We start from the raw sequence: 13,058 nt of genomic DNA, 5'->3' as shown, positions 1-13,058 counted from the left end.
GGATGAATGGCTTCCTAACCCATGTCCCTCCTCCCCCTTAGTCACGTCTCTCACAATTATCTTCACCACAACCTATGTCATCATTCTCTGTGACATCAACAACCATTGGTTTCCCTGGCCTCTGGTTTATTTGTCTTCCTGTTTGCATTCTCCCCAATCCTCCATCTACCTCAGCCACTGCCTCTGCCCCGGCCACAGGTGCAGACTCCAGCTCATTCAGAGTGGCTTCTATCCCACCATGCCAACCAAGGCCAGCTGTGATTTCATGGTGCTGAAGCCAATGGCCACTCTTCAATCCTCATCAACTGTGGGCTCTCCATCAGCTTTTGAGAGCTAATAAGCCCCTTCTCAAAACTTCCTCTTGTCTTGGTGTCAACCATGCTGGGCTCACCTTCATCTCCGATGTCTCTGGCTGCTCTTTCTCAGGCTCATCAATGGTGGCCTCCCCACATGCTCTCCAAATGCTGGGTTCCTCAGGACACTTCTCTCCAGACACCACCTCCCTCCATGACCTCATTCATCTGTATAACTCCAAATGGCAGCCATGGAGTGAATTGACCCTGAATTTATAGCTCTGACCAGATCCTAGAGTTATGTCTTTACTCAGAGGTCTTATAGGCCTCTCATAACTAAAACTGAATTCTTGTTGTTGTCTCCAAACTTATGATTGTGCTGGTTCTCAGGAGAGAGGACAGCACTGTTCACAGGTGAGTTGCCTTCTTCCACCTACATTCAGCAGAGGCAGCAAAGTACACCCGAGTGGCATTGGCACAAGGATGCTGGGTGTGTCATCTGCACCTAGATCCTGCCATGCCTGCCTTGGGGTCACACAAGCTGTCCAGTATGCCTGGCCTCATCCTCCTCTCCTCCAGCATGGGAGACTCCACCAGGCTGCAGGGTGCACTCTTGCCTCCCCTCCAGCGTGGGAGACTCCACCAGGCTGCGGGGTGCACTCCTGCTGCCCTGTGGCAGTTACTGTTTCCTTCATCCTCGGCTCCAAAGGGCAAAAAGTGAGCCCCAGCCTGACACTTTCCCTCTGGGTGAGGCTGTCAAATCCTCTCCTTTCTGATTTCACCTTTCCTGGCATGTAGAGAATAAGGAATAACTCCAAGATCATTCTCATGGGTTTTGAAACCTCAGATGCAAAAGAAGAAATGCTCTGAGGTTCCTCAGCCTCCAGATGCCACTTCCCAGATCACTCCCCCTTGGCTTGGCCTCAGGTGAAGGTGTGTGTATGTGTGTGTGCATGTGTGTGTGCACGTGTGTAGGGGTCTGCTGTGTGCATGTGTAAGAATGCGTGTGTGGGGGAGTCTGCTGTGAGTGCATGTATGAGTGTGTGTGCGTGTGTGTGCACGTGTGTGGGTCTGCTGTGTGCATGTGTAAGAATGCGTGTGTTGGATCTGCTGTGAGTGCGTGTATGAGTGTGGGTGTTTGTGTGCATGTGTGTGGGGATCTGCTGTGTGCAGGTGTGTGGAGTGCATGTGTGAGTGTGGATGTGTTGTGTGTTTGAATATGCATATATATGGGTCTGCTGTGTGCATGTATGTTTGAGTGCATATGTGACTGTGTTGTGTGTGTGAACGTGTGTGGGTCTGCTGTGTGTGACATGGGTGTGGTGTGTGCACGTGTGTGTGTCTGCTGCATGTGTGGATTGCATGTGTGAATGTGTTGGTGTGTGACTGTGTGGGTCTGCTGTGTTCATATATATGTGAGTGCATAAGTGTGGGTGTTCTATATGTGTGTGCGTGTGTGGGGGTCTGCTGTGTGCATGTATGTGGAGTGCATGTGTGAGTGTGGATGTGTTGTGTGTGTGCATATACATTGTGGATCTGCTGTATGTGTGTGGTGGTGCATGTGTGACTGTGGGTGTGTGTGTGCATGTGTGTGTGGAGTGCCTCTGTGTGTGTGGGTGTGTTGTGCGTGTGAACGTGTTTGGGTCTGCTGTGTTCATGTATGTGTGAGTGCCTGGGCTAGTGCAGGTGTGTTGTGTGTGTGCACATAAGCATGTGTCTGTTGTGTGCGTGTGTGTGACTGCATGTGTGGGTGTGGGGGGGGTCATGCAGTGTGATCGCATGTGTGAGTGTGTTTTGCGTGTTCATGAATACACAAATATTGTGTGTGTGCCCATGGCTGGCAGTGGGTGGGCGGGTGATGGGGCGTGCAGAGGGATCCCATCCTTCCAGGAGACGTGACAGGGAGCCCCCTCCCATCCAGCACGCTCCCCTGAATGCACCTGCGCTGCCAAAAGGAGGTAGGGGTGGGGAGGGCTGTGCCGTGGCCGCTTGGTGTACCCTTGTGGCGGGAGGGCTGTGCTGCGGCCACTCGGTGTGTGCTTGGGGCGGGGAGGGCTGTGCCGTGGCCGCTCGGTGTGTGCTTGGGGCGGGAGGGAGGGCTGTGCTGCGGCCGCTCGGTGTGTGCTCAGGCGCTGTGAGCCTGCAGGGCGCCCTCGCGCTTCTTCCTCTGCGCAGCCCCTGGTGTTGCGTTCTGAGCTGAGGCTTCCTAATTGACGCTGACGGATGGGCTCAGACTCGAGCCGACAGAGCCAGCTGAGCGGAGCCTGTTAAAAATCTCACTTATTAACCCAAGTCCTCTACCACACTCCTGTCCCTGTCAGGGCCATGCTGATGAGGCATGGGGGTGAGGGCTCACTTTGGAAGACCCAGCGCCAAATGAGCGCGTCCCTGGGTGCTGGAGCTCCCAGGCAGCAGAGCCCTGGGCTTCCGAAGGGGGCTGCCCAGGCCACCCTGAGCGGGTGCAGGTGGGCCACTGTGGACCCAGGCCCAGCAGGTGTTTGGGGGGCTGGGGCCAGTGGTGTCCACAGGGCAGCTTAGTGGCAGAAATGAAGAATCCCACAGGCACGTGGGCTGATGGCCTCTGTCCTGAGAGGAGGCTCAGGGTGCAGATTTCATGGGTGCCTGGGCCTGGCCTGTCCTGAGAGGTGGCTCGGGGTGCAGTTGTCACGGGTGCCTGGGCCTGGCCTTGCTGGTTTCAGAGGAGGGGTGTGTTGGGCGAGGGCTGCTGGAGGAGGGCGGGCCAGCTTCTCCTGTTTGTGGCTGGAGTGCCATGTGCCTGGCACCCAGGAGGTTCTCCACACGTAATTAATGAATTAATTAATCACAAAAGCATTTATGTTTTACATTTTCTCTAAAATTAACATTTAATCTTCCTAATAATTGCCTGAGGGGTAAATACTATATTGTCTTCATTTGGCACATGAGGAAATTAAATTTTAGCATCCCAGGGACTCACACCCAGGGCCTTGGACTCCAGTGCCCCTCATCACTCAGCCACAGGAGGCACCAGCTGGGGGCCTCGGTGTCGTGGCCTCTGCCCTTCTGGAAGCTGCCACCTGAACTCCTTGGCTCAGGCCACGCCCTCTCTTGAGACGTCCCTCCCCGTTTCCTGTCTTCCTCATCGTTGAAGATGTAGCTTGGGCACCTGGCCCCCAAGACATCTTCCCAAATGTCCAGATTATTGATCCAGCTCCCCAATGACCCCACCCATCTCTGAGGCCACACAGCCCCCGTGTCATTTCCCACGCTTTAGAAAAAACCACCCATCTGTTTCTCTGCTGCTAGACCGCAGCCTCCACCTTCCCTCCCTATGACCAACACACTGCCGGCATCTACCACACACATACCATACACCACACATGCACGGGCACACACATACACATGCATGCAAACACACATGTGCACACACTTTCACATGAATGCACACACACCACACACCTACCACACACACCACACATGCACATACACATATACACACACTACACACACCCACACTGTACACACAACACACATACCACATATGCACACACCACACACACCACACATGCCACACATCCACAGACACAAACATATACATATATACACACACCGCACACATGCCCCACGCACAACACATATATCACACATGTACAAACAGGCACACACCATGCACATAACACACATATACACCATACATACACATCACACATGATACATACACACATCTCACTACACACACCACACAAACATCATGTGCACTCACCACACACACGCACCACACACATACGCTACACACACACACCAAACATGCACACATACACAGACATGTACACATGCACACATCACACACGTCTCTCACACATTACACATAGACACACACGTGCATGCACACAGGCCACACGGACACACCCTCTGCAGGGCAGCCAGGGCTCTCCTTGGCCCCCTCACCCCATTGATGGCCCCGGCCGTAGCTCCAGATGCTGCTTTGTGCAGGTCGGGTGTGTCCCTGGTCGACAGGTCCTCTCAGATGCATTCTCTCCTCTTTTCCCTGAGGACAGATGTGGTGTAATGTGGTCTTTGGCCACCTGAGGACGTGGGGAGGACTGGATGGGATGAAACGGTGCCGTGATGGTGGCTCTGGGGTGGCTCCGGCAGTGGCACCATCTGCCTGATACTCATGTGACCTCAGTGACCTCTCCTTTCCCCACAGCCTGCTCCTCATTGTCTTCTCAGCTCCCTGTTCTCCTGCTGGGAGGCACAGTCAAAAGGGGGGTTTGTCATGGTTTCCTGTGACATGATTCTTCGTTTGGGGGAGCAGCAACGTCTTCTCCGAATAAGACACACAGACCCCCAGCGCACCAGCAAAATGCAGCAGAAGGGAAGCAGAGCCAGACGTGTGCAAAACCCTCTCCTAAGAGCACAAGTGAAGGGTTTTATGTGAAAGGATTTGGGTTTAAATCAGAGCTGCTGGTGTGACGCGTAAGCAGCCTGGGGAGGAGGGACCCGCGGCGCCCCCGGAACACAGCGCTCCCATGCCGACACCCCCGGTGCACAGCCTCCCTCCACCTTGAGCAGCGAGAGGGCCCATCGGCCTCCGGGGTGTCAGCAAATGGCCCGAGACTGGCCGGAGGCCAGAGGCATGTGGTCGGCAGCCCATCTGCAGTGCCCTGGATGTGGGGACCCCTGTTAGAGAGAGGTCTTGGGGTGCCCAGCCCCGTAACTAAGATGGGATATTCCTGAGTAAAGAGAAAAGAGGAGGAGAAAGGGAGGGGGATGCTGCAGGGTCTGTGCGAATCCACATGTGGGGCAAGAGAGGGGGCCAGGGAGCCGCAGTCCCAGCAAAGCACTCAACGCCAGGGCAGAGGGCAGAGGGCAGAGGGTAGAGGGCAGAGTCTCGCACCACCCGCTTCCAAGGATGTGCCGAATGCCAGCCTGCCTGCTTTTCTGAGAGCAGAGCTCCTGTCTGAGTGCCAGAGGCCTGTAGACTGCGGGGGCTTCAGTGCCTGCCCCCGGGCCCCTCCTGGAGACAGGCAGTGGACAGTAAAAAGAACACTAGGGACTTTAAACACATCCCCGAAATCTTAACAACTTAACCCAAGAAAGTTTGTTTCTCACTCATATCCAGTGCAGCGTCCTGAGGTGGAGTGTGGCTCTGCTCCGTGTGGCCACTCTGAGATCCAGGCTGGCTCGGCCTCTGCCAGCCCTTGGCTTCCAAGCTTGCCCTGCCCTAGAGCTCGTGGAGGGGAGGAAAGTGTGTGGAAGGTCTCCACAGCCAGTTTAGGGTGGAACCCATCACTCATTCACCCTGGGGCCGACCCAGGCCCCCGACCACACCGAGCAGCAGAGTCTGCAAGGCAGCATGGCCCAGGGAGGCGGGGCAGGCACGGGGCAGCAGCTGGTCTCCACCTCAGAGCACGCTAGGAGGCGGGAGGCAGGAGGCGAGCCGGCAGGGCTGGGGGGTCTCTGGGCTGCAATTCATGGAATTCTGTGTCTTCTCAGGCTGCTGCTGTGAACAAGGGTGGAGAAGGAGTGAGTGTATTTGTATATATGAGGGGAGCATGTGTTCACATGTACACCAGCGAGAGGGCGTGATCTGTACGTGCATGAGTGAGAGCACATCTTCACATCTGCACGAGGGTGACAGTATGTTCATATGAGCACAAGCCAGAGAGGGCGTGTGCTGGGGAGTCTGCAACATGCTTACTTGTGTGAATCTTGCCGCCCAGCTCTTTCTGAAGCACAGCGATGTCTGCAACGTGTCACCGCCTGAGCGTGTGCAGAGTGTGCACAGTGTGCACTGCTTAGCCTCTGCTTTGTGGCATGCATGTGTGCTGCTTTACACACATGTGCGCGCGCCCCAGCTCATGGCAGGCTGTAAGGGTGGTCTGTCCCAGGATCTCTACAGCTTCTGGTGGCCTCCAACAGTCCTTGGATGTGGGTGGCTCTCTCCTTCACGTCGACCCCCATGAGTGCCTGTCTGCATCCGAATGTCCCTTTAAAAGGATGCCAGCAACACTGGACTAGGGCCAACTCCCATGACGTCATCTAAATGTGATCCTCTAGAAAGACCCTATTTCCAAACAAGGTCCCAGCACAGAGTCTGGGCCCAGGACCCCAGCACCCTGAGCTCAGCCCACTGGCTGGGACTCCGGCTTTCCCACCTCGGCAGCGGTGCTTCTCTAAGTGGCTCTACAGGTAACAAAATGTCAGGAAACACCACACACCAGTCCTGCCTTTTGACCACACTGATGCGCGGAGGCCTAGGCCTGGCACCCTGGAGGGCAAAGGACCGAGGAAGAGGCCACGGCCATGGGAGGGCGCAGGCCTGAGCCCACCTGTGGCCCAGCCCTCAGGAGGTGCACACAGCCTCAGCCTCCCGTCCTGCAAACGGCTGGCCCTGCTCTTCCCAGCGTGCCCAGCGCCTGCCCACAGCAGCACCCAGGCCAGGTGAGGACGGTGAGGCTGAAGGGCGCAGAATCTTCTGCAGGGAAACCGGTCATGCAGGCCCAGCAGCCGGAGCCTGCTTCCACGTCTCCACTGCCTCCCGCGCTGCTCCCAGAATAAAGACTAGGAGGGTTCAGGTGCAGAGGAGAGAAACGCAGGGCCCCGTGTGGAAGGTCAGCCTCAAAGTCACCTGAAATCAAACATCACCGTCACCATGCACGGGTGACCACGTAGCTTTGGAGAAACAAATATTTAAAGTTGGGTGAGATTTGCTTCCCTCCATCTGGGACTCGTGCGCTTCTGTGCAGAGGCGCCCTCTGCAAAGTGTGGACACCTGAAACAGGCTGCCTGCAAAGCTGCTCTGTGACAAGAAGCCAATTCAAAGATGAAAAGAAGCTCAGTTTTTAGAAACATTTTCAAATAATGGAATGAGCCTGTGGATGGGGTGCTGGGGCCCCATCACTCTGTGTTCATTTGGGTTTAGAGGGATCTCCCCGCTTCTCGCCTCCTTGCCATGGTGAATCGTACATTTTGGGCAGAGGGTGGCAGATGGCCCCATATGGGATTGGAGAAGACGTGGCTCCCTGCCCCCTCCTGCCCCCTCCTGCCCCCCGTCTCTCCTCCGTCCCTGTCCTCCCTCTGTCCTGCCCCCGCCTGTCCCCGTCCTGCCCCGTCCTGCCCCGTGTCTCTCCTCTGTCCCTGTCCTGCCCCCTCCTGTCCCCTCCTGTTCCCATCCTGCTCCCGTCCTGCCCCATGTCGAGCGCCAGTTCTCCTGTCCTTGTGGCCTCCCCACCCTTCTCCCTGCCCGTCAAACGCTGAGGAAGCCATTGCTGTCAGGCGGCACCGTGGACGTGGCCTTCTCCGGGGGAGCTCTCTGTGGACACCCACGTTTCCTTCACGCGCACATCCGTTTTATGATGTGGAGCTTTAAGGACCTGGGAGGAAATGGGAGGTTTGCAGTTGTAAATGGCGTCAGCAGGGGCTTCCTCGCCTGCCTGTCAAGATGGAGGCCAAGCCCAGGGAGGGGTTCCTGAGCAGATGGCAGGAGAAGGCCCTTCGCCGTGTCCCCCAGGGGCTCCGTGCACCAGGCCTCACCTGCGCAGCACGGCAGTGTGGGTGTGGCGACCACTGCCTCGCGTGGGCACAGTCTCGCAGCTCTGAAGAGGCCATTGGGGCAGAACAATCCCCCTCACTCTAAGGAGCAAACTCCTCCAAAGCACCACAAACCGCGACTTGTGTCGGGGCTCTCACGGCGGGGTCCCCGGGGTCACCAGCAGCATCACCTGGGGAACAACGCAAATGCACGTTCTTGGGCCCAGCCCTGGCTCAGAAGCTCTGGCTGGCCCCGAGCTGTTTTACCCGCGCTCCAGGCCATTCTGACTCAGGGTCCAGATGAAAACCACCGGGGTAAGGAATGCGTGCTGTGTAGACAGCCACACGCAGGGCAGCTGGAGCACTCGGGGCAGCTGCTAATTAAAAAGCAATGCTCATTCCTCAGTGGACATCTGGAAAATACAGCGATGCAGTGAGGAAGAAATGCGACTCCCCCGGACCCGCCCAGAGGCAGCAAAGGCGCTTATCATTCGTGGGCATCTTGTCCTCTGATCTTTCTTCTGCGCATTTGAACTTTCTTTTTTATACGAGTAGGATCACCACATTTTGTACACTAACAAAGTTTAACAAATTGTTAGACTTTCCCATGACATTAGGGCCTTTTCCATTTAACGAGAGCTGCACATGCTGTTTTGGGGACCTGAATGGCGTATCGAACCCCTGTCCGCCTCTGACTCTGGTCTCCCACCCTCTTCCCTCCCCACCGTTCCCCGCTGTCCTTGGTCTTTGTTGTCCTAGCCACACCGGCTTCCCAGCACTGGCTGGACTCACACCCCACAGCAGGAGGACCGGGCAGGGTGAGGGGTCCCAAAGGTCTGGGCTTACCACTGAAGTTCCACTTCTCCAACCGGCTTGCCCTGGCCCTGTCACTGCCTTCTCTACGGTCCCACGCGCTCTGGAGATGCTTGTCTGTGGGCCCGGGTGGTTGGCTTGGGGGAGGCTGCCATGCGTGTGGTTTTAGCACGGCACAGGTCTTTGCAGATACACGGCACGTGTCACAGTCATTTGAGCACCGTCCTCCTGTTTGTCACCGAGTCATCTCTTTTTAACAGAAGCTCATCCAGAGGCTGTGGTCCGGGTGAAATTAGGGAGCAGCGTGGAATGTGGGTAGGGACTTGGCTTAGGGACTTCTAAACCAAGACGAAGGCTTCTGGGTTTGGAAGGAGGGCGAGTTTTCCACATCCTAACCCCGGTTTGCACAACGCTGGTTTCCAAACGGAATTCTCAACATACCAGCCCTGGGCTACCGCTCCGGGAACTCAACCTCCATTTCTGTGAAGCCCAGCTACCCATCTGTGGTGGGTCAGACAGGTGAAATCACGGGCCTCCTTGGCTATACGTTAAATGGAAGTTAAATGGAAATTGGCCAGCACCCGGCTACCAAGGGTGACACCGGCTGATGAAAGATGCACCAAAGCACAGATGAGCCGTCCATTCATCTCTCTCGCTTACAGCTTTCTCAGCTGACATAGAGTTTCTGGTCTCCTCTGACAACTTCTTTCTTTTCACCATTAAGAAAAACTCCAAATAATTTCAATTTGCAGCTCATTAGCACCCTATGCACAGGGAGTGTTGAAAGAGTTTTTCTTTTTCCTCTTGATGAAAGAAGTCCCTGGAACTCAGGACGCCCTCCTCAGAATTCTCTCCTTTGTTCTTCCCACCCTCCTCCCTCACCTCCCTCATGCCCCAAAGGGAGTGGAGTGGAAAGGGAGGAAAGAAAGACAAAAAGCGAAACAGGTGCCCCAGGAAGGGCAGCGGAACCCCTCCTCCCACAAAGCCCCTTCCCTCTGGGCGTCTCTCCCGGCAAGCCCCAAGGGTCCCAGCACGGGAGGAGGACGGCCCCTCGGATCTAATGAGCGGACCTCACATCCAAAAGGGGCTGCGATGTTGGGGTGCCCCTGCCTTGGCCAGAGCAGACACTGCCCTCTGCTCACCTGTGTGCACCAGAGAACATGGTCGAGGGATGCCGGGTTGATAAGGGGAGCCCGGCCAAACCCTCAGTCACATGGAGTCCGCCTGCCCTGAACCTCCTCATTTCTCACTGCCTGTCCTCAGAGCGAGGCTTTTTTCACTGAGCCATGTCTTAAGTCGAGGGTGGTCCTTCCCTACTTAGACAGCGACCCCATCGCCCTATCACCTGTCGGAGACTCATTCAGCATTGGGGATACAGATGGCCTTGTCCTGAGTTCCAGGGACCCCAAAATGTATAAAACAGCCTCAGCTTTGGTCTAGACCCTAAAATCCAGAGAAGCACCCTATGCAAAGAGGTGTGGGTAGAATTGGACCCGCTGTTTGGACCTCGTCAGATGAGGGGAGGCTGTCACAGCGAGGAAGCCACTGCGTGGAGTCTCGGCACAGGGGCCGGCCTGTGGGGAGCATCAGTCTCCCATAAGCCGAGTGCTCATCAGGTTCCCCAAGCTTAGCAGCTTGGCAGCATTTATTATTGAGCAAGTATTTCATGGGCTCACGCACGTTCCTGTGTGATGCCTGGTGCTGAGGACATTAAATCCTGTATATTTGGCCAGGGTTCTTAGGATTTGGGTGCCAGCCCTGGGCTATCTCCTGCCCTTAAGCTTAGAAATCTCAAGACGTTGAACACACTCAGGTACACAGCACTGTGCCAACAGCCACGATGGAGAGGAGACGCATCTACTTCACGTGGAGATTTGGGGTGAAGTCATTTTGATACTAAAACATACATGTGTGTGCATATATATATATATATATATATATATAATAGAGTAGATTACAAAAATCCATGAGTTTTTTTTGTTTTATTTTTTTGGGTTTTTTTTTTTGAGATGGAGTCTCGCTCTGTCATCCAGGCTGGGGTATAGTGGTGCGATCTCCGCTCACTGCAAGCTCCACCTCCCGGGTTCATGCCATTCTCCTGCCTCAGCCTCCCGAGTAGCTGGGACTACAGGTGCCCGCCACCACGCCCGGCTAATTTTTTGTGTTTTTAGTAGAGATGGGGTTTCACTGTGTTAGCCAGGATGGTCTCGATCTCCTGACTTCGTGATCCGCCTGCCTTGGCCTCCCAAAGTGCTAGGATTACAGGCATGAGCCACAGCGCCCCGCCCCAAAAATCCACGAGTTTTTAAGATAACAGATGAAACTTCAAAGACATCTCCTACCTGCTGCTGACCCTCAGTGCTCAGTCTTCAGAGCCCCCGATGTGGCTGGGGAGGGTCTCATGGAAAAGCGTGAGCCCTGGGGTGAGGAGCACAGACCCCAGCAGTCCCGCCGTCCCCGTGGAAAGCCTGTGCCCAGCAGTCCTGCCGTCCTTGTGGAGAGCCTGTGCCCAGCAGTCCCGCCGTCCCCGTGGAGAGCCAGCCTCCAGCAGTCCCGCCGTCCCCGTGGAGAGCCAGCCCCCAGAAGTCCCGCCGTCCCCGTGAAGAGCCCAGCCCCCAGCAGTCCCGCCGTTCCCGTCCCCGTCCCCATGGAGAGCCCAGCCCCCAGCAGTCCCGCCGTCCCCGTCCCTGTCCCCATGGAGAGCCCAGCCCCCAGCAGTCCCGCCGTCCCCGTCCCCGTGGAGAACCCAGCTCCCAGCAGTCCCGCCGTCCCCATGGAGACCCTGTGCCCAGCAGCCCCGCTGTCCCCGTGGAGAGCCTGTGCCCAGCAGCCCCGCCGTCCCCGTGGAGAGCCTGTGCCCAGCAGTCCCGCCATCCCGTGGAGAGCCTGTGCCCAGCACGGCACCTCTAGCCCAGCCTGGCATAGCCTCGTCAAGTTGCAGAGCCCCCAGTGCCAGGGCGCCCGCCTGTGGACCCCACACGTCTAGATCGCTGCTTTGGGATCACGGGGGATGGTGCGCTGCGACCATGATGTGTTGTGAAGTTCTGTGCTCACTGTCCGCAGCCTTTGCTTAAACAACAACGGTTGGCTTTATCTGATGAAGGTGGAACTGCAGTGTTCTCCACGTGGCCCTCACATGGCTCCGCAGAAGCTCAGGGTGTTGTGGGCCAGGTTCGCCTCCACCCACTTCAGCCAGCAGGGGAAGCTCCCCTGTCCTCTCTGCCGAGCCCTCGTGAGTTGGACGGTGGCCCCGGCTTCCAGCTCCGGCCTGGCGGTTCCCTGATCTCCTCCCCACGCACCCTCTGCCATCAGCCTGGTATTTTCCATGACCCATTACAGTCCTGTTCCCCGAACCTGCCTCCTGTTCAAGGACAGCAAGTCCATCCCATGGGCAGGGCCCAGCAGGACTGGGCCAGTGAGACGGTTTCCTGTGAGGATCCTGGGGTCAAAGTGCCACAAACTGGGTGGCTTCAAACCACAGAAATGAATTGTCTGACGGGACCGCGGGCCGGAAGCTGGAGATCCAGGTGTTGTCAGGGCCACGTGCTCAGGAAGCTCTCGGGCGACTCTCTGTGGCTCCTGGCAATGCCGGGGGCTCCTTGGCAGGTAGACGCCTCACTCCGTTCCGTCTCCGTCCTCGGGGCGTGTCTGTGCTGTCTCTTCTTAGAAGGATGCCGGCCGTACTGGATAAGGGCCTCATCTTTACTAACTCCATCCACAGAGACCCTATGTCCAGAAGGCGGCATTCACTGTGCTGGTGTTAGGAGTTGAACGTGTCTTTTTGGGGAAACGGTTCTGCTCGCCACAGTGCCTTGGTGTCATCTCATCCAACCCTGGGCCTACGCGGGAGCTCACACGGCGGGGGTGGCGCGGGGCTCCTTCCACACCTCGCTCAGGGCTGAGCCCCCTCCAGGGCCAGAGTCACAGCCTCCTGGCTCCACAGCCTCGGTGTCATCTCATCCAACCCTGGGCCTACGTGGGAGCTCACACGGCAGGGGTGGTGCCGGGCTCCTTCCACACCTCGCTCAGGGCTGAGCCCCCTCCAGGGCCAGAGTCACAGCCTCCTGGCTCCATAAGGCATCTGGCTTGTCGCAACACGTTCCTCTTTGGACTGACTCAGCTTTCGAAACCTTCTTACTTATCCTAAGCAACAGTACCCACAAAATTCATGTTTTTGATGTACTATTTTGCTTTTTCTCGTGCACATTAAAATAAAGTTTTAAAAATTGCCCACATTCCACATAAAAGCAAGTGACACAGCACACTTCGGGAGGTGCTGCAGGGACTGAACGTGTGCATTAAAATAAAGTTTTAAGAACTGCCCACATTCCACATAAAAGCAAGTGACACACCACACTTCGGGAGGTGCTGCAGGGACTGACCATGTGAAATGTGAATCGTCCAAGGCAACAACTGAATCTTATAGATGCTTAATCC

General features: G+C 56.3%; 1 protein-coding gene across 10 annotated transcripts in view, besides 1 other annotated feature; it reads left to right on the top strand.

Moving 5' to 3' along the window:
- Positions 1-13,058, top strand: part of PTPRN2 (protein tyrosine phosphatase receptor type N2) — a 1,048,768-nt gene that overhangs the window by 765,926 nt on the left and 269,784 nt on the right. The window lies entirely within an intron of this gene.
- Positions 6,606-7,107: an enhancer, noted in NCBI's record as "H3K27ac-H3K4me1 hESC enhancer chr7:157607483-157607984 (GRCh37/hg19 assembly coordinates)". NCBI's record gives its function as "activates a minimal SCP1, AML or CMV promoter by ChIP-STARR-seq in primed H9 embryonic stem cells {active_cell/tissue: H9 hESC(primed)}" and the evidence as "EXISTENCE:reporter gene assay evidence [ECO:0000049][PMID:30033119]".

Source organism: Homo sapiens, chromosome 7 (assembly GCF_000001405.40).
Source record: "Homo sapiens chromosome 7, GRCh38.p14 Primary Assembly".
Classification (NCBI taxonomy): Eukaryota; Metazoa; Chordata; class Mammalia; order Primates; family Hominidae; genus Homo; species Homo sapiens.
Note: the sequence above shows the minus strand (reverse complement) of the source record. Positions and strands in the feature narration are given on the sequence as shown.